We start from the raw sequence: 23,586 nt of genomic DNA, 5'->3' as shown, positions 1-23,586 counted from the left end.
TTTATCATCATTAAACCTGTGTTTTATTCTGACTCTATCACCTATGGGGTATGTGACCTTGGGAATGTCACTTCATGTCTCCTGGGGTGATTAAGACACTAAGTCTGACTTCTCCACTGAAAAATGGGGTTCACTCATCTGATTGTCTTGAAAATCAAATGCAATTTTCTTAGAAAGTAAATACCAATGTTGAAATGTTTTATATACACGTGAAATTAGTAATGACAGGAGAAAGTATAACAGTAGAAATAAAAATAAGAGTAAGAAGAGTAATTTATGTTAATCATAGAAAAAAGGAATAAACAGAAAAAATAAAAGAAAAATATTTCATAAATCATAATGTTCACATTGAGTCCTATTTTTGCAAGTATTTTAAAACTTTGCTTATGCTTTATATCATATATTTTGAACAACTGCATAAATGATATCTTGCTATAGTTTTATAGCAAGAAGTCTCGCAAACTTCTTTTATACTTATGACAAGACTTCAGGCTTATTAACTTAATACACATAAGACTGGTTCATTTATTTTAAATTGCAAATAAAATTCCATTATATTAACAAACTCTATTTATTTCTGACCTTGCTGAGGGACAGAATTTATTTTGCTGTTACAAATTGTACTTCAATGAATATCATCTTCACACAAATATCTTTTGCACTTGTGTATAAATTTTATCATGAATACATTCCGAGAAGTAGAATTGCTGGATTTCATGGCATATGTATCTACACTTTTGTTAAATTTTGTCAGATTTCTCTCTGAAGTGGTCATCTGTCTTATTGAGTATAGCAAGCGGAAATATTTGAAAACTCTATATTTTCCCCTGTATATTTATCCTTAAACGGAAGGTCACTTCCATTTAAATTGTATATTCCAGAATATTGTATCTACCACCCTTCACTGTTCATTTGAATTTTGGCAAATTTCTCTTTTAGACTTACATTCTGAGTATTCGTTGACTGTCATAGACTCAAGCCCAATTCCAGCTTCCACATCTCTCAAAATTCTTACTGAACTGACATTTTATTAAAGATGAATTAACAATACTGATTGATTGATTATAAATTCCCTGAATTTATACCTTAGTAGTCTAAGCCAGCATTTCTCGAATCTGTTGGCCTGAAGACATGTTTACACTCTAAAATTTACTGAAGACCCCAAATAGTTTTTATTTATGTAGTTTATTTCTTTGATATCGGTATTGTATTATGATATTGGAAATTAAAGCAGAAATTTTAAAAAATATGTATGTATCAATTCATTCTTAAATAGGAAAGATAAATCAATTATATGCTAACATGAGTAATATACTTTTATAGATAAAATAATTATGTTTTCCAAAACAAGATTTAATGAGAAGCCTGGTTTTCTCCTTTGCAAATGTCTTTAATGTCTGTCTTAATGGAAGAGAGTTAGATTCTCACATCTGCTTCTGAATTCAATTCGCTATGCTATGTTGTTTTCACTGAAGTGTATGAAGGAAATCTGCCCTCACAAAGATGTCTAATTGGAAAAAGATGAAGTCTTTTAATAGTTTTTGCAAATAATTGTAGATATTCTTCTTTGAAAGTAAGTCAAAAAACTCAACAAGCATGGTTTCTTAAAGGTTAACTTCAAAATGGAGTCCGAATCTCTATCATAAATTGTACATTGTGTGTTACATTAAAAATCTATTCTTATCTTGTGCTCAGAATGTATTTTTCACCTATTACTGTGTAGCACTCTTTTTTTTTTTTTTTTTTTGAGACGGAATCTTGCCTTGTTGCCCAGGCTGGAATGTAATGGCGCGATCTTGGCTAATTGCAAGCTCTGCCTCCCGGGTTCACACCATTCTCCTGCCTCAGCCTCCCACGTAGCTGGGACTACAGGCGCTCACCACCACGCCTGGCTAATTTTTTTTGTATTTTTAGTAGAGACGGGGTTTCACCGTTTTGGCCAGGATGGTCTCGATTTCCTGACCTCGTGATCCACCCGCCTCGCCTCCCAAAGTGCTGGGATTACAGGCGTGAGCCACCGCGCGCTGCCTGTGTAGCACTATTATGCGGTAAGGAGTTAATACAGCAGACCTGATTTGCTCCGATTAAAAAGGCTTACTTTCAGGGTTGGGCCTTGGTTCGCATCTGGGAACTTGGCTTTTGAAATGTTCCCTACATTAATAAAACTGTTTTGCCCACCTGGGGCACTGAACAACTGCTTTCCTTTAGGGAGTCTGGAATTTTAGTAGCAGTAGCTGGTCATTGTGCCTACGTGTCCAGCTTCCAGTGAAAACTCTGAACTCTGAGTCTCAACTAGGCTTCACAGGGCAGAAACACTGCACATATTTTGCTGTATTTCAGTGCCAGAGAAAGAAGTGATTTCTCTGTGAACTCTCCTAGAAGAATGAGAACTTCTGAAGCCTGTCTTTGGATTACTCCAAACTCCAACCGATGTGTTTTTTTGTTTGTTTGTTTGTTTTTGTTTTGTTTTGTTTTTGTCGTTCCGGATTGCTATTATAAGAAGCTACGGTCTGCCTTTGAGATCTGTGCGTCCCTAAAATAATGATGCATCAGTCATTTGGAAATATTCAGTGAGATATTCAGATCTCCTAAAAGTTGGCATATTTCATCATAGAACATCAAGAAAAAATCACTATTGTTAACATCTCCATCAGTCTCTTCAGAAAACTGTTCATGTATGAGAAGCCATCAGTTTCATAGTTGCCAATAAACATTTTACAAGGTTCTAAGTTTTACTGGAAAGTTCAAATTTTCCATTGGCAATAAATACTATCATTTTTACCCTTGACAGCTACCTACCTTTGGTTTGTTTTCTAGAAAATTTCTGCTGGATATCCAAGCCTGAGTAAACCTAGTTTGTCTCTGTGTTATTTTTTTCAGGTGAAAATCATGTTCCATGGAAGAAGAGTTAGCTCAGCCTGCAACTCAAACAAGTACAGATATTCTTCCATGGAATGACCATCATACTTGGATTGTAATAAAAATGCTTTAGGCAAACTTCTCATTTCATCCTTGGCATATTAAAAATATGTATGTATGTTTAAGGCTTGAAACTTAACACTGTATTTTAATGTTTCAGTAAGGTAATTCTTCTTAAATAAAATTGGCATTTTTAAAAAAGCCCTCTCTCACCACTCCTATTCAACATAGTGTTGGAAGTTCTGGCCAGGGCAATTAGGCAGGAGAAAGAAATAAAGGGTATTCAATTAGGAAAAGAGGAAGTCAAATTGTCCCTGTTTGCAGATGACATGATTGTATATCTAGAAAACCCCATTGTCTCAGCCCAAAATCTCCTTAAGCTGATAAGCAACTTCAGCAAAGTCTCAGGTTACAAAATCAATGTACAAAAATCACAAGCATTCTTATACACCAATAACAGACAAGCAGAGAGCCAAATTATGAGTGAACTCCCATTCATAATTGCTTCAAAGAGAATAAAATACCTAGGAATCCAACTTACAAGGGATGTGAAGGACCTCTTCAAGGAGAACTACAAACCACTGCTTAAGGAAATAAAAGAGGATACAAAGAAATGGAAGAACATTCCATGCTCATGGGTAGGAAGAATCAATATCGTGAAAATGGCCATACTGCCCAAGGTAATTTTTATAGATTCAATGCCATCCCCATCAAGCTACCACTGACTTTCTTCACAGAATTGGAAAAAACAACTACTTTAAAGTTCATATGGAACCAAAAAAGAGCCCGCATTGCCAAGTCAATCCTAAGCCAAAAGAACAAAGCTGGGGGCATCACACTACCTGACTTCAAACTATACTACAAGGCTACAGTAACCAAAACAGCAGGGTACTGGTACCAAAACAGAGATATTGATCAATGGAACAGAACAGAGCCCTCAGAAATAACGCCGCACATCTACAACTATCTGATCTTTGACAAACCTGACAAAAACAAGCAATGGGGAAAGGATTCCCTATTTAATAAATAGTGCCGGGAAAACTGGCCAGCTATATGGAGAAAGCTGAAACTGGATCCCTTCCTCACACCTTATACAAAAATTAATTCAAGATGGATTAAAGACTTAAATGTTAGACCTAAAACCATAAAAACCCTAGAAGAAAACCTAGGCATTACCATTCAGGACATAGGCATGGGCAAGGACTTCATGTCTAAAACACCAAAAGTAATGGCAACAAAAGCCAAAATTGAGAAATGGGATCTAATGAAACTAAAGAGCTTCTGCACAGCAAAAGAAACTACCATCAGAGTGAACAGGCAACCCACAAAATGGGAGAAAATTTTCGCAACCTACTCATCTGACAAAGGGCTAATATCCAGAATCTACAATGAACTCAAACAAATTTACAAGAAAAAAACAAACAACCCCATCAAAAAGTGGGCAAAAGACATGAACAGACACTTCTCAAAAGAAGACATTTATGCAGCCAAAAAACACATGAAAAATTGCTTACCATCACTGGCCATCAGAGAAATGCAAATCAAAACTACAATGAGATACCATCTCACACCAGTTAGAATGGCAATTATTAAAAAGTCAGGAAACAACAGGTGCTAGAGGGGATGTGGAGAAATAGGAACACTTTTACACTGTTGGTGGGACCGTAAACTAGTTCAACCATTGTGGAAGGCAGTGTGGTGATTCCTCAGGGTTCTAGAACTAGAAATACCATTTGACCCAGTCATCCCATTACTGGGTATATACCCAAAGGATTATAAATCATGCTGCTATAAAGACACATGCACACGTATGTTTATTGTAGCACTATTCACAATAGCAAAGACTTGGAACCAACCCAAATGTCCAACAATGATTGATAGACTGGATTAAGAAAATGTGGCACATATACACCATGCAATACTATGCAGCCATAAAAGATGAAGAGTTCATGTCCTTTGTAGGGACATGGATGAAATTGGAAATCATCATTCTCAGTAAACTATTGCAAGGATAAAAAACCAAACACCGCATGTTCTCACTCATAGGTGGGAATTGAACAATGAGAACACATGGACACAGGAAGGGGAACATCACACTCTGGGGACTGTTGTGGGGTGGGGGGAGGGGGGAGGGATAGCATTAGAGGATATACCTAATGCTAAATGATGAGTTAATGGGTGCAGCATACCAGCATGGCACATGTATACATATGTAATTAACCTGCACAGTATGCACATGTACCCTAAAACTTAATGTATAATAATAATAAAATAAAATAAAATAAAATAAAAAATAAAAAAGTGCCTGAAGTTTCGTGTTGAAGAAACTAATCGCAACTAGTACAGTTGCCACTAAACACCGCCTTGACTAAGATTTAAATTTCAACAAAGTGATATTATTATTAAAATGGTTTTGACTTCATAGATCCTGGAAGCGTTTCAGGGAGCCCCAATGGTGGACCACACTTTGGGAACCACTGTTCTAAGCTCTGTTCCATTTTGCCCTATTTACTGATTGAAATGTACTGATGGGGGTGGAGTGGTGATTAGGGTTACAGTGTTAATGCTACACACCTCCAAAAGCAACTTTTATATAACAAAAAATAAATCCTCAATTTGCTTGGTGTTTCAGATCTTGTAACTCTAAGTGAGGATGATGATAAAATAAATGAATACATTTTCATTCTTTCTTGTCAGGTTGTCGAATTCTCTTCCAAAGGAATGAAAATCTCAAATATAAGCTTGAGGCTGGGGGCGATGGCTCACACCTGTAATCCCAGTATTTTGGGAGGCTGAGGTGGGAGGATTGCTTGAGCCCAGGAATTCAAGATCAGCATGGACAACATGGAAAGACTCCCATTTCTAAATATATTTGCATACATATACACATATATACACAAATATATATATATATGTATGTGTGTGTATATATATATGTATATTTTAAATTAGCTAGGTACAGTGGTGTGCTCCTGTGGTCACACCTACTCAGGAGGCTGAGGCAGGAGGTTCGCCTAAGCCAGGGAGGTCAAGGCTGCAGTGAGCTGTGATCATGCCACTACACTCTATCCTGGGTGACAGAGCCAGACCCTGGCATATATATAAATATATATATATATATATATATACATATATATATATATATATATATATATATATATATACACATATATATATATGTATATATATATATATCGCAAAAAATATATATATACACACACACATATATATATGTAAGCTTGATTGTGTTTCTCCTCCCAGACCCATCAGCAATAAGTAGAAATAGGCCCAGTGCCTGGAATATGGTTGTTTTAATCCTTTGTCTGAAGTGTGTATTTTTGCCTTTCTTGCATATCATTAATAATATATAAATAAGAAAGAGTAAGAATACATGTAAAGGCCTATGTTTGTCAGTGAGCTACTCTAAAGTGTGAATAACATTAGCAGATGAAATATGCACAATGTTCAGAATCTTTTTAACTTCAGATAAGAGTTTATTATTTAATTTTTTATAAAACAGCCTGATAATTATAATTTCCATAAACTTCTGGCTTTTTTAGAAAAGCAAAAACAGCCAAACAAAATAAAAACATCATCAATGAGGTATTTAAAACTTGCCGAGAGAGTTTTATGGGAAAGATTGAACACGGGAATTACCCCTGCACACAGTACAGCATTTCACTGAAAATGAGATCCATTTATTGTCCTCAATCTCTCTTCTCACCCTCACAGTCGGCTCTCCTCTTTATCTAATTATCCTCCAGTGAAAGCATTTTCCTTAGATCTTGCCTCTCAATTTCCCTGTCCTACTTATAGAGATCAACTGTGCTCCTTCCTTGTCTCTTGTTACCAAGTCTACTCACCTAGCCACCATTTACCACAACTGATAAAGCAAAAGTGATAAACTGAGGAAAAAATGTGTTGGTCTTATAAATAAAAGATTGTTCAGTCAAAAAACAGGATGGGATTGGTTATAGGTAATGAAAATTATTTTTGTCACATATGCACATTAAAAATAAGGCAATTTGTCACATACACTGCTAAAGGACTTGAAGTAAATGATGCTGGAAATGGAAAGGAAATGATGCTGGTGATGGAAAGGAGATGGTGCTGCTGATCAAAAGAAGATGGTGCTGCTGATGGAAAGGAGATGGTGCTGGAGATGATGGAAAGGAGATGGTGCTGGTGATGATGGAAAGGAGATGACACTGGTGATGATGGAAAGGAGATGACACTGGTGATGATGGAAAGCAGATGATGCTGGTGATGATGGAAAGGAGTTGATGCTGGTGATGATGGAAAGGAGATGATGCTGGTGATGGAAAGGAGATGGTGCTGATGATGATGGAAAGGAGATGGTGCTGGTGATGGAAAGGAGATGGTGCTGCTGATGGAAAGGAGGCATATATGGAAGCATGAATGGACCACACCTCATTGCCCAGTTATTCCTCTGCTTTCTATTAGCATTCTTTATGGTTTAGTGCCCTAGTCAAGTGATAGATCATCCTCTTGTTAAGATAGTCTTTATACAAACAGATTTTCTCTCCTATCTCAAGCTGATGGAAATTATTTTACTTTGCCTTATGCATTACATCCCTTTTGTGCTCATTATGCATTGAAGAGCTGGAACCACTAATAGCGGTAGCAATTTCTTCTCATAATGTTTCCTTCTCATGTAGAAAGTTATAGTTTCAAATTTAACTGGAATCACAAGAGATCAAGTGCTCTGAAATTTTATTGAAGATGCATCCAGACAAGTCAAAACCATTTTAACATTTTTTAAAATAATATATATGGTATTCCTGAATGTAGTTTTTAAATTGACTTTTGTATTTTTAAAAATGTAATTGGCCTGGCATGGTGGCTTATGCCTATAATCCCAGCACTTTGGGAGGCTGAGGCAGGTGGATCACGAGGTCAGGAGATCAAGACCATCTTGGCTAACAGGGTGAAACCCTATCTCTACTAAAAATACAAAAAATTAGCTGGATGTGGTGGCAGGTGCCTGTAGTCCCAGCTACTCGGGAGGCTGAGGCAGGAGAATGGTGTGAACCCGGGAGGCAGAGCTTGCAGTGAGCAGAGATTGCACCACTGCACTCTAGCCTGGGCTGCAAGGCGAGACTCCATCTAAAAAAAAAAAAAAATTAACTGGGCATGGTTGGCACATGTCTATAATCTCAGCTACTCGGGAGGCTGAGGCAGGAGAATCGCTTGAACCCGGGAGGCAGAGGTTGTGGTGAGCCGAGATCGTGGCATCGCACTCCAGCCTGGATGACAAGAGTGAAAATCTGTCTCAAAAAAAATGTAATTAACTTGCTCCCTAAGAATTGCTTCTAAATATACCTAGGATACTTTTTATAAGTATGGGGAAAGGCAACATTAGTGCCAGGGTCTTACTCTACAGAAAATGATTCCTCAAAACAAAGCAGAGATAAAAATAGAAATATATGACCAAATACCATTCACTGAAGATGCGATAAGTGTATCAGAGAAAAGACTGGTGTTGTTTAATGCATTATATTGTTGCTCTGCTTATTAGAATCATGTTGGTTTCCTAATGGATGTAATATTTTGTGATTATTTTGTGGCCCTTTCAATAAAATAAGTCATGAATCCCTTTGAGACATAACTCTACTGAAACACTCTTTTATGAAAAAGTAAGCTTTAACTTGAATCATTTCACTTTATCTTGCCTTTTGTTAAGAGATTTTAATCATCTGTAGGTCTGACAAATTTATGATGCTAAAAATGATCTAGTGAATATGAAGAATGCAAGATAAAGATAATTACAAGTTATTAAAATCCATGAAGAACACATGTGTTATTAAAGCAGATGGAACTTGAATTAAAGCTCAACAACTAAACCAAATATAATAATACTCAAAAATAAACAATGGTAGTTTCCCTTTTTCCTAGATATAAAATCTTCTGCTAATGCTATCTTCTGTTCCAAGATAGCCCATTAATTCTTGATTAAAACGGAACCAATCAAAATCTACCACTACCTCTTAGTTCCAAAAGCTATTTTCCTTTTTATGTAACTGGATTCAGCAAACCTGGAAGATATACTGATGGATTTTGTATACATAGTAATACATGTACTGGGGAGTTCTACCAGGAAGCCTCAAACTCATCAATGTATCTGGTTTTGGAGCCTATGCAAAAGAAACTCCTTCAAGGTGAATCTACCTAATAATATATTTTCTTTTTTTTTTTTAATAGGACACAACTGTCACAATAGGTTTCAAGATGGATCATTTTTACAACAAAAACTTCTTTTTAGTGAGTACTGATTTTCATTTTCAGGTTTTGTTGCTATCCCTATAGAATGAGACAAAAAAGAAAAACATGCCTACTAGACATCACATTAGAGTATAATGGTCAGGATCCCAGCAAGAGAAAAATGTCACATTTAAATGGGTTCAATGATACGAACTTAATTAAGAAACCACAGTATTTACTGAAATGGATATAGAGCCAAGAGAACCAACAAGGGATGGTGAATCCAAAAGGTGGTAATACCACACCTGAATGGGCAAGAGGGGAGAGTAGGTACCAGTTGCAGTTGTAGGAGATGTTGAGATTACCACCCAACAGGAGGTATGTCCTTCTTTAGAGAAACACAGCCAACCCACAGGAAGAGAGCACTGGAAATGGATACCTCAGCCTTTCTCTTCTCATATCATACAAACTCCCACCAATACCTCTGATTAGCTGAACATACTAAAAAGTTAAAAGAGAACCTGTTGATACAGACTATAAAAGTCAGCAGGTGGCCAAAATTCAAGTATGTATCTGAGAGTTCAAAAATATATATTGCATAAATATTTTTAAATTACAAGAATTTTTGTCCCTAAAAATCCTTTCATATCTTTTTATTTGTCAATGACATTTTGAGGATAGATAGATCAGCAATGAGGCCTCACTATACTTCTAAAAATGTTCTTTTTGAAATATATTTACCAAATGATCCTTGGCTATCTAAAAAAAAACATAAAGACTGTCTGATTAAGCAAACACTCTTAACAATGGCCACTTTAAAAAAAATCCTACTTATTTGGTAAAGTGCACACAAGGCACAGAAGGAAGTAACCCTGTCAGAGAATGGAAAGCAAGATTCAAGTGGCCCTTCTCTCCCAAAGCTATTATAACTAAAACCAGACCATTTTATTGCCTTTAGCTTATTTACAACTCATCATATTTTGGTAAGCTAGGAATTAAGTATTAATTTTACTTATTTGACCTTGGGAGAAATATTTAGTAATAGTAAACACAGCTGCAGCCAGATCTTGCTAAGATCACTCCATTTTATCTAATTTATTCATAATCTAAGCCAAAACTTACTTGAGAACTGAACTTAAACATATTTAACATGACCTTCATCTTATATGTATAAAATTTGACATAAAATTAACAGTGTAATATTTAAAAAAAAGGTATACAATTACTTTAATGTGTTATTGAACTAAGAAAAGGGCAAATGAGTCATTTGATATTAAGGTTATGTATATTTCTTGAAATACACCCTTCAAATACCATTTATGTTTAAAGACTTATTTAATACCTAAGTCTTTTCATTCTCATTCTTAAGTAGGAAATGTAAATTGGTCCAGCCATTCAAGAGAATAATTAAATATTACCTATAAAATGTCATGAAATAGGCATTACCTTTACCCAACTATTTTCACTTCCAGGGATTATCCTAAGAAAATAATCAAACTTTTTAACTAAGTTTTATGTACAGGTTTGCTAACGCATAGAGAAAAATGGATGGGAAGAAGTTATTAAAGAAATAATACAAGAGAATTTTCAACAGCTGAAAGTAATCTCAAATGGTCAAATTGAAAGGAATGCTGAAAAGGATGAACAACAAAGATCATGACGCACACCAAAATATGATGAATTTTCACAGCTTCATGAATGAAAATTTTAAAAAGTTTCCAAAGAGGAAAAAGTGCTGTCACCCACAGAAGAATGAGTTCACACTTCTCACTAGAAAGCACCAAAATGCCTTAAAAGAATGGGTAATTTGGAAAGTATAGGGAAAGGTAACTTTCAACCCATTATTATAAAAATACCTAAAGTTTGAGGTAATATGAGTATAATTGGACGAGAGCATGGGAAATGCCTTTTCTCTACTTTCTGACACCCAAAACCTCAAATACCACTACAGGGAGAAAAAAAGAATAGAAATCATGCTTTGACTTTAAACTGGAAATAAATAAGAAATTCAGAAGTGTCTGGGTTTATTTGGAAATGAGAAGATCAGTCTGTCATCATGTATGATAGCAATTTATAAAAGAAGTTAAAAACTGTAAGAAGTTTTCTTTTTTTTTTTTTTTTGCACCCCTGAGTATGTGGCTTGGGACATTCATAGCTATTATTATGATCATTACTAACAGCAATTATTTCTGAATGCTTATTATCTACTAGCTACTTTGTTTTATCCTCTACATATAAAATCATATTGAGTACTCAACAATTGGATGGGATGTGGGTATTATTATCTTCAGTTTTTCAATGACAAACTAAGGCTTGGGAACTATAAGTAACTTTCCCAAAGTCATACATTTTGCAAGTGGTAAAGTTAAATTACAACCAGATTTTCATGACTCATTTAAACCCATTGTCTTAAACATTATTTTAAAATCTTACAATGATCCAACTAATTATCCTTAGCAAACAATACACAGACCTTCCTTGACCTCTCAACAATTCAGTGCTTGCTTTACTATTAACATTTTTTGTTGTTGACAGAAATAATTAAAATATTTTCAATCCCGTATCTCCAGGACCTTCTTGGTATTATCCTTTTAAATTCCCTTCCAGAAGCTACATGACTCATCTCTTCAAAATCTCCTCTTCCATGAAACCTAGAGGAGAGAAAGCCTATTTTCAATAAGTCGTAGCATTCCTTGTTCTCTGCTGATAAGACTCTACTGAATAAGTACCTGTGTAGGGGCATTCAGCATTGGCTTAATTCATACCCAAGGGCACCTTACACTGCTAAAAGCTTCCAAAAAATTCTAGAAAAGTGCCTGAAGGAAAATTTTAAGTACTAGTGGAAAAATCATAAAAGGATAGTTCAGGGAAAGAGAAATAATTGTTATTTTCTACTATAAAAGCAAACACTGAACTTCATGGAGTTCGACATGTGTCTAAAATTGATTGTGGGCCACTCTTGGCTTTCATCTTGATGAGCCATTTATCTTCTGTGAGAATTTAGAATACTTTACCTTCCCACTTTTATTCACCTCCCTGCACTCCAACCACATCTTCAGCATAGTGTCCTAGACTCTAGCAGGATTCTAGAGCCTGTAAGAATGTTCTTTAAACTGCAGAAGTCATATGCCAGAAGTATTTCGAAGCTCGGTTTTATTGTTCACTTTAACGTAGTCCGGATGTCTCAGTACTAAGTCTACAGCTGAAGGTTGCTTATTCATTGTCCATCTTATCTATTTTTAATGTAGGAGACGTAAAGATTTTTTCTATGCATAAATAAGCTAATATTATAAACAAATGCAAGTGCTTGTAATTGTATGTAACTGATATGAGAGTTAAAAAGAAATTATTTAGGCAGATAGTGAGGGTCAGGAAGTCCTCAGTAAGGTTTTCCTTTTAACAAAGAGCAGCACACAAATCATTTTCTTTTCTAACGAAGAGCAGCCTATAAAATCAAGCTGCAGACATAGATAAGTGAACAGGAAGCTTGCACGGGTGAATGCCAACAGCTGTGCCAAGTAGGAAAGGGGCTACCTGGAAGCTAGGCATGTTCAACATGGTGGCTCCATCTTCCCTTCTCTTTACCAAACCACATGTACAGTAAGGAGAAGACAACATTGCACTGGCCAAGTAAAGACTATATTTGCATAATAGAAGATTAGGATGGGGCAGCCAGCTTCCTCATGCATTATGCAAACATCACACCTAATCCAACCAATCCTTGGGCCCTGTGTAAATCAGACACTGCCTCCTCAAAGCAGCCTATAAAATCCAGTGCACTTTACTGTGGGCCAGGAGTCCAACTCAGGCACCCCCCTCTCTCACAGGATAGAGAGCTATTCTTCTTTCTCTTTCTTTTGCTTTTTTTTTTTTTTTTTTTTTTTTAGACTGAGTCTCACTCTGTCACCAGGTTAGAGAGCAGCAGTGCAATCTCCACTCACTGCAACCTCTGCCTCCCAGGTTCAAGCGAGTCTCCTGCCTCAGCCTCCTGACTAGCTGGAACTACAGGCACACGCCACCACGCCCAGCTAATTTTTGTTTTTGTTTTTTGTTTTTTGTTTTTTGGTTTTTTTTTGGTAGAGACGGGGGTCCTACCATGTTGGCCAGGATGGTCTCGATCTCTTGACCTCATGATCCACCCACCTCGGCCTCCCAAAGTGTTGGGATTACAGGCATGAGCCATTGCACCCCGCCTCTTTTGCCTATTAAACCTCTGCTCCTAAACTCACTTCTTGTGTGTCCATGTACTTCATTTTCTTGACGCGAGATGACAAACCTCGAGTATTTACCCCAGACAAAGACGCAGCTTCAAAACAAAGAGAGAATCAGTAATTTTTATAGTTTAGTTAATTCCGTATTTAAACTTCCAAAGCACATGTCAAACACAATAATCTTGACGTTTCAATGGCCCTCTATTTCTTTTCTTCAGTTATGAAGACCAAGGAGCACTTTACAATATTTTTTACTGCTTCTGCTTTGTTTACTTTTTTTTTTTTTTTTTTTTTTTGACAGAGCCTCGCTCTTTCGTCCAGACTGGAGTGTAATGGTGCAATCTCAGCTCACTGCAACCACCATGACCCAGGATCAAGCAATTCTCCTGACTCAGCCTCCTGAGTAGCTGGGACTACAGGTGCACACCACCGCACCCAGCTAATTTTTGTATTTTTAGTAGAGATGGTTTCATCATATTGGTCAGGCTGGTCTCGAACTCCTGACCTCAGGTGATCCGCCTCCCAAATCTCGGCCTCCAAAGTGGTGTTTTGTTTACTTTTATATTTTCTATAACATTTAGTCACTAAATGGGAAACAAATTAAACTTTCTTTCACTTGGGCAGAAACAGTTTGATCCAAGATATTTTCTTGTCAGATTTTGTCAGAAAAAAATGTCAACTTTGTTTCTAACTTAACTTCTGCAGTATCTTGTAATCATCTGCTAAAGTACCTGCAGAGATGTTCCAAAACAACGTCTGGAATATCCTGGAAGTCTCTCATGTGTGCTCTGAAATGAAACCAGTAAGCTCTGTGCTCCCCATTCCTTGTTCCTCTGGCCTTCATCCATGTTTTCCAGCTTGATTATCTCTGTAGAGTACCACTGTGGCCTTCAGGAGCTTCCCAGTCATTCAGCAGCCTTACCTCTGCTTGAAGTATTGCCACTTTTGCTGATCTGTTAGTTTGCAACTATTTTTATGGAGTATCTACCGAGTGTCCAGGACTGGTGTACAGGTTGGAGATTATAGCAAATGCCCTCACCCTAGTGGAGCTTACATTTTAGTGAAACAACGATGGGGAAATATAATTATAAAAAAACCCATTACCTCCCCCCAGAAAATCTCTCTACAAAAGTAAAAGAGAAACAAAACCTTTATTATTGGAGAAGCATTAAATCAAAATGTGATGCACATCACAGCCAATCTGTTAAGAGACTGCGAAGACAGAAATAAATCTCATTCTTTTAGGGAGTTAAGCAGATACGATCACTTACATGCGTGATATCAAGGTAAACAATAACTATTTCTCAAGTAAGAGGACTTGACAGCAACATTTGTTGTATATAGTCTAACCTAAATTTACTTGGCAATTGGGGTAGCCACCTGTGGTTGTCAATTGTCTTTAAAATAAAATAATTATTTTCTCATGTTTCTACAACCTGTGGTAGGTTTGCAACTTGGAGCCAAACCCCAGCTGAAGTTAGAATCCTATCTTCCCAGAAAACTGGGAGACAGACACACCATCTTCCTTGATGATTATATTTCAAAGAGATGGCTCTCAGAGCCTTAGGAAACATTCTCGTGGTATAATTGGCAAGGTCCTTATTAAGCTTTTAAAGAGATTTATATACATTTTAGGAGGCAGAGAAAGAGCTTCCAATTGCAAGTGTTTTAAAGTAAATGCTTCAAGAAAAGAGAGGAGAAGTATCTTTCCTCATTTTCAAGAAATCAAACTAAGCCTTTTATCTTAAATTTGTATCTTATCTTTAAAAGGACACAGACCATCAACAAGTGGATAAGAAATGAATAAATAAAGAAATAAACATTTTATAATAAAATTCAAAACAGAATGTTCTTTAAGGAAAATAAAATAAGTTAATGCATTCAGGGAGTACTTTAGGTAGAACATGAAGTGTACACTGTCTAAGAAAGTGATGTTTGACTTGAGATGTGAGAAGACAATGTGAAAATTCCAAGCAGAGAAAGGAGTGAGTACCAAGGCCTCGAAAGAGGATCACGACTGAGTTGTTCAACAGACATAAATAGGCAGGAATGACTGGGGTACAATAAAATTTGGAGAGAATAGAGAAAGATGGGGGTGAAGAGGAAGACTGGGGCAAGATTGTTAAGACTTTGTAGGCTAGAGAATGGAGTTTATATTTTATTCTGGTTGCATGGAAGTATTTCAAGCAGTGAAAGAACATAATCTAATTTATCATTTAGAAAGACGTTCGGCTTCTGTGTGGCAGATGAACTATTTAAAAATGGTGACGATCATTGTGGAAGCATATTGGGCAAAGTGTGGAGGTAGAGAAACAAGTTAAGAAGCAGGTTTGAGATTCCAAACAATAGCTTAGTTTGCTAGGACTAGGGTTGCGGTAGTAGAGGTGCTGAGCAGAGTAATAGGTTTGCAATATAATTAGAATAAAAGAAAAGTCATTAAGGAATGGGATGCATCCTGCATCATGTGCGATATGAGGGTAAGAATGGAATTAAGCATGATTTCAAAATTTCTGGTCTTAGAAAGATGGTAGTGGTGCCATCTATTAAGATGGTATAGACTTGAAAAGTAGATTTGGGAGAAGAGAAGAATCATGGCTGTCCTATTGGGCATTCAAGCAGCAATATTCAGTGGCAAAGAGTCTGGAGCTATGGGGGAGTGTGCATCTGCATTTCCTGTTCCGTGTCAGCTGTGGCTTAATAGCCCCACTGAACGTTGCTAACTCTGTTGGGCACCTGTGCACTCTAGGTACCAGGGTGACAGGATATTCCATTGCATAGTGGGTAGTGAAAATTTTTACTATTTTTGCTCTTACCTTGTAATTATCAGGTTCCAAAGCAGTGTTTTTATGTGTCTCACTGTATCTGTAAATCTTGATTACAACATATAAGCCAAGTTCAGTTCCACCCCTCCTGATCACTGAGCTTCTGCCAGGATCAAACTTGTGTTACCATCTTTTTTTTACTTCTTTCCCATTGGTTTTTACACCAGCCACAGCCTGGCTCAGCTTGATCTCTGTCTTGGAGATCACAGGGCAGAAAGCAAGAGGTGGGCAGGACTGTGATTCTTTATGGAAGTTCTGGGGATGACTTTGCTTCCAAGGATTTGAATCATTCAAGTTGCTGGCAGAATTCAGCCCTATGGGGTTGTATGACTGAGGTCAGTCTCCTTGCTGGCTGTCAGCTTAGAGGCATTCTCAGCTTCTAGAGGTAGTTCACATTTCTCAGCTTGTGGCTCCCTTTCTCCATCTTCAAAGCCAGTAATTGTTATAGTAAGCACTCAGGTAGACATGAGCAGGGCAGGAGAAGGCCCCTGCCAACAGGAATGTCAGGCAACCATTAGGTGATGGGCAAGTGGTTGGTAAACTGTCCCTCTAAAATAATAACTGGTCACAGCTGGTATCAGGGAAAGGCAATCTCCCAATAGACAGACAAAACCTGAAACTGGTGATCAGCAACCTCCCAATAAGATGTCAGGAGTTGGGCAAGTGGGCTTGAGCATGCGCACTAAGAGGAAAAATGGTGGAGTTTAACTGGTGTATGACCTTCTTCTAGGAAAGGAAAAACACCTCAAGTGAGCATAAGCACAACTCCAGTAAACACACTGTGCATGCGGCCCCTCCCAAGTGCTGGCAGGCTACCGCACATGCAGACAGCCCACCCTAAGGGAAGAATCAGGGGAGAAGAGAGGCAGACCCCCAGAAGCATGCCAACATATGAGACATCAAGTCAAAGGTCAAACCGGGCACTTGACTCTCTCAAGTCTCCCTCTCGGCCCTCTTTCAAGTGTAACTTACTTCCTTTCATTTCTGCTCTAAAACTTTTAAATAAACTTTCACTTCTGCTCTAAAACTTGCCTTGGTCTCTCCTTCTGCGTTATGGCCCTTGGTTGAATTTCCATCTCTTTTTGAAGAGGCAAAAATTGAGGTTGCTGCAGACCATTACGGATTCACTGCTGCTAATATAATGAGGCCTTTTCCTGTTCTGATATCTCTGATACCTCCTTTGGCTTTACCTTTCCTCTGCTTGTCTCTGCTGACTTCTTGATCTTCAACCAGCTAGAGTGCATTCTCTGCTTTTAAGGTAGCATGTGATTAGATTAGGTGCACCTGGATAATCCAAGCCACTCTTCCTATTTTAAGAAAGTAACCTGAATTACTTATAAAGTAACCTGAATTACTGCATAATCTGCATAATCCTTTCAAGGGGACTAGATTCATGTTTAATTGCATAACTAGAGGATGTAAATCTCAGGGAGAAATCTTTAGAATGCTACTTACCCAGTTCCTCAATCTTAAAGAATCTTTTTTTGAGCTGACACACCAGTTCATTAGTCTTACACAGATGAGTTTTAATCCCAGTAGCTGACAGCTCAACCCCAAATTAGTACAGCTGCTATAATAATGTTCATTTATTTATTTAACAAGTACATATTGAGCTCATTATATTTTGAGCACTAGAGATACAGCAGGAAACAAGTTAAACAGATCTTCTTTTGGCACATACATGCTAAAGATACATGCTGATGGGCTGGGTGCGGTGGCTCACGCCTGTAATCCCAGCACTTCGGGAGGCCGAGGTGGGTAGATCACGAGGTCAGGAGATCGAGACCATCCTGGCTAACATGATGAAACCCCGTCTCTACTAAAAATACAAAAAAAAAAAAAATTAGCTGGGTGTGGTGGCGGGCACCTGTAGTCTCAGCCACTTGGGAGGCTGAGGCAGGAGAATGGCATGAACCTGGAAGGCGGAGCTTGCAGGGAGCCGAGATCACGCCACTGCACTCCAGCCTGGGTGACAGAGCAAGACTCTATCTTAAAAAAAAGAAAAAAAAGAAAAGAAAAGAAAAAAAAAGTTACATGCTGATGGATGTTATTTTGATGTCTTAATGAGACTGGTAGTCTAAAAATTGGGAAAATTTAAATAAGCATCAGAAATTCCAGGTTACTTTTAGATCATTAGTCTGAACACGATGAAATCAATGTGTTGGCCATTCTTGCCTCTCATCTCTCTTTGCTATTATCTCATCAGTAATAGCAGAAACAAAAATCTCCCTCTCTACAATCTTCCTGTTTTTTACACTTAAAGTCTACAACATAGAGTTTATTCATTTGCAGAATAACTAAGGCTAGAAAATACTATGTACTCCAAAGGAATTTGGCTCTTCAGATATCCAACAGGCACCTAGAAGGCTTATTCTGCAAACAGCAATTACATATAAGAGTCTCAAAGATAAAGATTAGTGGATTCAGAATGGAATTATTGGTCTGTGGGGTCATACTTGGACTACAGATAAATCTAAAAGAAGCAAATTTTAAAGAGCAAAGAGCTACTTGGGGAGGAGTAAGCAAAGAAAGAAATTTTATTCTGACTTGCTCAGTTGTGAGGGCCCTGGTTTGAGTCTGGAATTAAAGCACATTTCCTGAAGTGGCTATTCTTAGTTCATCCTATTCTCCATTTGACCCTCAACTGTTATCCTTTTGTATCCAAGTAGTATCATAAGCCTCTCACAAGGCTGACAAGTAAATGAAAAATGTGTGAGTAAATCCATTATCCTATCTCAAAAGGCAAACAGGTTAAGAACAAATGGAGACCCTACTTCACTGCCTACAGCCTCAGTAAGGTTGATTTGTCTATATAATTTATTTTGTTAAGAATTTTATTTTGTTAAGTTCCTTAAAATCACTCATCTTACCAATAACAGTTATACAGAAGGGGGCCCAATTAAGTCATGAGAACAGATTGATTAATCTGATTTAGATTGTTTGTGTAGTTTTGTGTTGTTAATGCTGCAAATATTAGGCATAATTTAATTTACAGTAAGAGGAGAGGAAAGTGGAGAGGTGGGTTCCAAAGAGGTGAAATGTCTTGAGGTTCTGAAGGCATATTGCTTTAACAGTGAATGTCTGGGATGTCTTTGCTGACTCTCTGAAATGTAAAGGTTGGCAGAGTGTCACAGTTTTGTCAGTTCTAACTGTGCAGTCATCTTTTGACATGATGGGCTGTTGACAACAGAGTTAGAAATCCCAAAGAACTCTCCTACACCCCTTCACCCCAGTCCTTCAAAATCTTTTTGAAATGAAGACAAGTACTAAGTCTGATAAAAGTAACTGTCAGCTCATTTGAGCAAACATTTATCCCGTCTCTATTAAATCCCAAGTACTAATGCGAAATTATATTAAAGCCTCAGATCATTCCAGAGAATTAAGGGGAGAGTCTGCACTGAAAAACGGAAATAATACCTAACGACAACTGCCCCATTTCTGGATGTTCACATCAACACTGCCTCTCCTTCCATGTTTCTTTAGAAGCCAAACAATCCCTCTAGAAATTTCAGCAGTATCCAGATTTTATAAGAGGCAAGAGAATTCCAGGGGTAAACATAATGTTAACACTTGTTAATGGTAGACCAGCATGTGTTCTTATTGTATTTTCATTTCTTAAATACATGGGTTTATTTTTAAATGGGTGGAAGACAGGTATGCTATTCTTCATCATTAGCATTCAGTAGAATATGTAATTATTAGCTGGAGTTCTCTCCCTACCCCCACTCCATGTTAAAGTTTTGCAATCATTCATATACTATTGATTCACAATCTAAGCTCAGGGAAAATCTTGTTTTCCCAGATTAAAATAAAATCTCTCTCTCTCTCTCTCTCTCTCACACACACACACACACACACACATGCACACAATGATTTGTCTATTTCCATTTCTCTCTGTTTTTCTTTTGTTTCGCTATTTATACAAGTCAATAAAAACAAGCTAATCTAATTACTCTGTGAGAAATAGCCAGGCATAAAAAAGACAAATACTCTATGATCTCACTTTATGTGGAATCTAAGAAAGTGGAGCTCATAGAAGCAGAGAGTAGAATGGTGGTTTCAAGGAAATGGGGACTGGGGAATTGGGGGAAATGTTGCTCAGAGGTTACAGAGTTTCAGTTAGACAATGAACAAAGTCTGGAGTTGTATTGTGCAGGATGACTACAGTTAATAATAACATATTGCATACTCAAAAATTGCTAAGAGAGTCGATCTTTAATATTCTTTCCACACACACACACAAAGGATAACTATTTTAGGTGACTAATATGCTAATTAACTTGATTGTGGTACTAATTTCACAATGTATACATAGATCAAGACATTGCATTGTATACTGCAAACTCATGCAATTTTTATTTGTAAATATACCTCAATAAATCTGGGGGACAAAAGGAAGCAGGTTGTATAACATATACAAACATCGTGCAGGTTATCCCTGGGGATTTTACTTAGACTGCCTTGAGATGAGCTCATAACTTCTTTGGGGAGAGATAAACGAGCAAAACAAGAGCAACACGGAAAGGCTGGTTGTTTGGTGTGTGGGGATGGTTTTTTTTTTTTCTCCCAATGCTGAACACTCCTTCAGCAGCGGAGACAGATGTAGAATGACAGATGTGAGACCAATGAGTCTCTCTGTAATGCCTGCTCTTGTGCTGAAATATCTGAACACACATCACTCACAGAGTGGAGCACACTCACCAGCTTTACTCACTTGCAGAAGAAAGAGACATATTCTAATATCCATTTTCCTCTTTTAGCACCTGTGTGAAACCTTAAGGATAAGAATTTACCAGCTCATGCTTACCAAGTCAAAAGAAAGCCTTCCACCCCAAAGCTCAGGCAAGGAATTTGGCACAACCTCAAGACCTTTGCCTGCAGTTCAAAATGCAAGACAATAACAAATAACTTTTCATGATAATCTAATTCATATTGGGCTTATGACTTTATCTTGTATTTATTGACTCCTGACTCTACACAATTTAGTGAACATCTGACTCTGCACTTGTTCCCTAAGATAAACAAAACAAAATGTGCTCCCCTCCAGCAGGATAAACCCCACTGGAGGAAACACACATGCACACCAATGACTGGAATCCAAGCCATGATCTGAGAATTGCTAAGGTAAAGTGTAACACTCTAAGAGGATGAAGAAGTTTTGATGACTTCAATCTGGGAAGGCCAGAAAATATTTCATGAAACAAGAGGCAGCAAGTTTGAGCCTTTTTTAAATAGACAGACTCATAAGATTCAAAAGTCTAGAAAGAAGGCATTCCTAACCTAAGATAAGTGATAACCAACATTCGGAGCTGTTAAAAGCACATCTAGTGTTAGGAAATGACATGTGTCAGTTGGTGTGAGGGTTAATTTTACGTATCAACTTAGCTGGGCCACAGTACCGAAATATTTGGTCAGACACCAGTTTAAATATTGCTGTGAAGGAATTTTTTATTTCAGATGAACCTTTAAATCAGTAGACTTGGCCGAAAGCTGATGACCCCCAGTATTGTGGGTGGGCCTCATCCAACCAGTTGAAAATCTTAAGAGAAAAAAATGAAGTTTCCCTGAGGAAGAAGCGATTCTGCGAACAGACTCTTTTAGACTTAGAGCTTCAACATCAATTCTTCCCCTGGGTCTTCAACCTGCCATTCTACCTTGCAGATTTTTGACTTGTCAGCCTTGACAATCACATAAGCCAATTCCTTAAAGTAAATCAGTCACTCTTTCTTTCTCTCTATCTCGCTGCACACACACACACACACACACACACACACACACACACTCTTTTATCTGGAGAACTGTAATCCAATTAGAAAGTCTTCAAGTGGGAAAGGGGAACTGGGGACAGTGGGTAGGAAAGGGAGAGAGTATACCAGACCTCTATCATGTATGACCTGGGATTGCAGTGTAAGAAGCCTACTGTTTATTGTTCAACATAGTAAAGCCAACCAGAGATTTTTTGAACAGGAGATTTTGTTTGTGTGTGTGTGTGTATGATGAACACCATTGCTATTGTAAGAAATGATTTTTAAAGGGGCTGATGGAAACTAGAAAGATGAGTAAGAGTATGGTTATTAATTGGTAGTTAGTAATACTTTCGTTGGTTACGGGCCTGGAACAGTATTGACCAGTTGGGAAGAAAAGCTAGCATTGGAATTTCCAAAATTTGGGGGCCTCTGGTAATACCTTGTGGATCAGAGTCATTTGATGGCAGACATCAGTGGAATGTAGGGATTTTGGATTACATCGAAGGGACCTACTGTGAATGCATGACTAACTTTGGCAGTCCCAATATTGGAGTCCAGATGTTTATGATTTTGATTGCTCTAACTTACCTAACAGTAGTAATTCAACATCCTGAAATTTTCATCTAGATCTTTTTCACTGGGCCTAAAAAAAAAAACCACAGAACCAGAGGCAGCTTCTATTTGCTGCTCCCCAGCCCCCAACTTAATTCCCACTTATCTTTCATCCAGCTTTCTCACTTACCAACTCCTGCTCAAAAGCTCACATGGAGAAGCCAAACTAACCACTGCACAGTTTCAAAAGGCTCATGTGTGTACCAAGGCTACTACCTCTGGATGTTGCCAATTTAGAATCCTTGTGATGCCAATGCAACATGAGGGCCCAGGAATCAAGAGGTGGAAGTGGAAGTGGCACCACTCACCATCACCCCTCATGATCCACTAGCGACATTTTTGCTTCCTGTTCCTGCAACATTACGTTCTGCTGGCCTAGAGGTCTTAGTCCCAGAGGGAGGAATGCTGCAACGAGAAGACACAACAATTCCATTAAACTGGAAGTTAAGATTGCCACCTGGACACTTTGGGCTTCTCCTACCTTCAAGTGAACAGGCTAAGAAGGGAGTTACAGTGTTGGCTGGGGTGATTGGCATGGACTATCAAGACGAAGTAGGTCTACTAATCCACAGTGGAGGTAAGGAAGAGTATGCGTGGAATATAGGAGATCCCTTAGGACATCTCTTAGTATTACCATGTCCTGTGATTAAGGTCAAAGGGAAACTACAACAGCCCAATCCAGGTGGACTACAAATGGCCCAGACCCTTCAGAAATAAAGGTTCCAGTTACTCCACCAGACAAAAACAAAAAACAAAAACACTACCTGCTGAGGTGCTTACTCATGCCTCAGTCTCCGAAGTAGCTGGGACTACAGGCATGCTCCACCATGCTCGGCTAATTTTTTTTTTCAGTAGAGATGGGGTCTCACCATGTTGGCGAGGCTGACCCTCAGGTGACCCACCCACCTCAGCCTCCCAAAGTGCTGGAATTACAGCTATGAGCCACCACACCTGGCCACTTGACTTCATTCTTAATTTTTATTTTTAGCAAATTAAACATGAACATAGCTTAAAAATTCAAGTAGTTGAATAAGGCTTTTAATGAAAAAATCA

At 37.8% G+C, this 23,586-nt stretch overlaps 1 long non-coding RNA gene across 1 annotated transcript in view; it reads left to right on the top strand.

Moving 5' to 3' along the window:
- The window catches only part of LINC01807 (long intergenic non-protein coding RNA 1807), a 128,137-nt gene extending 125,017 nt beyond the window's left edge, over positions 1–3,120 (top strand). Inside the window, exon 4 of the long non-coding RNA NR_151716.1 lies at positions 2,881–3,120. This is a non-coding gene — a long non-coding RNA (long intergenic non-protein coding RNA 1807). The remainder of the gene's footprint in view (positions 1–2,880) is intronic.
- The last annotated feature ends 20,466 nt before the right edge of the window (positions 3,121–23,586 follow it).

The sequence above is a fragment of the Homo sapiens genome, chromosome 2 (genome assembly GCF_000001405.40).
Source record: "Homo sapiens chromosome 2, GRCh38.p14 Primary Assembly".
Taxonomy (NCBI): domain Eukaryota; kingdom Metazoa; phylum Chordata; class Mammalia; order Primates; family Hominidae; genus Homo; species Homo sapiens.
Note: the sequence above shows the minus strand (reverse complement) of the source record. Positions and strands in the feature narration are given on the sequence as shown.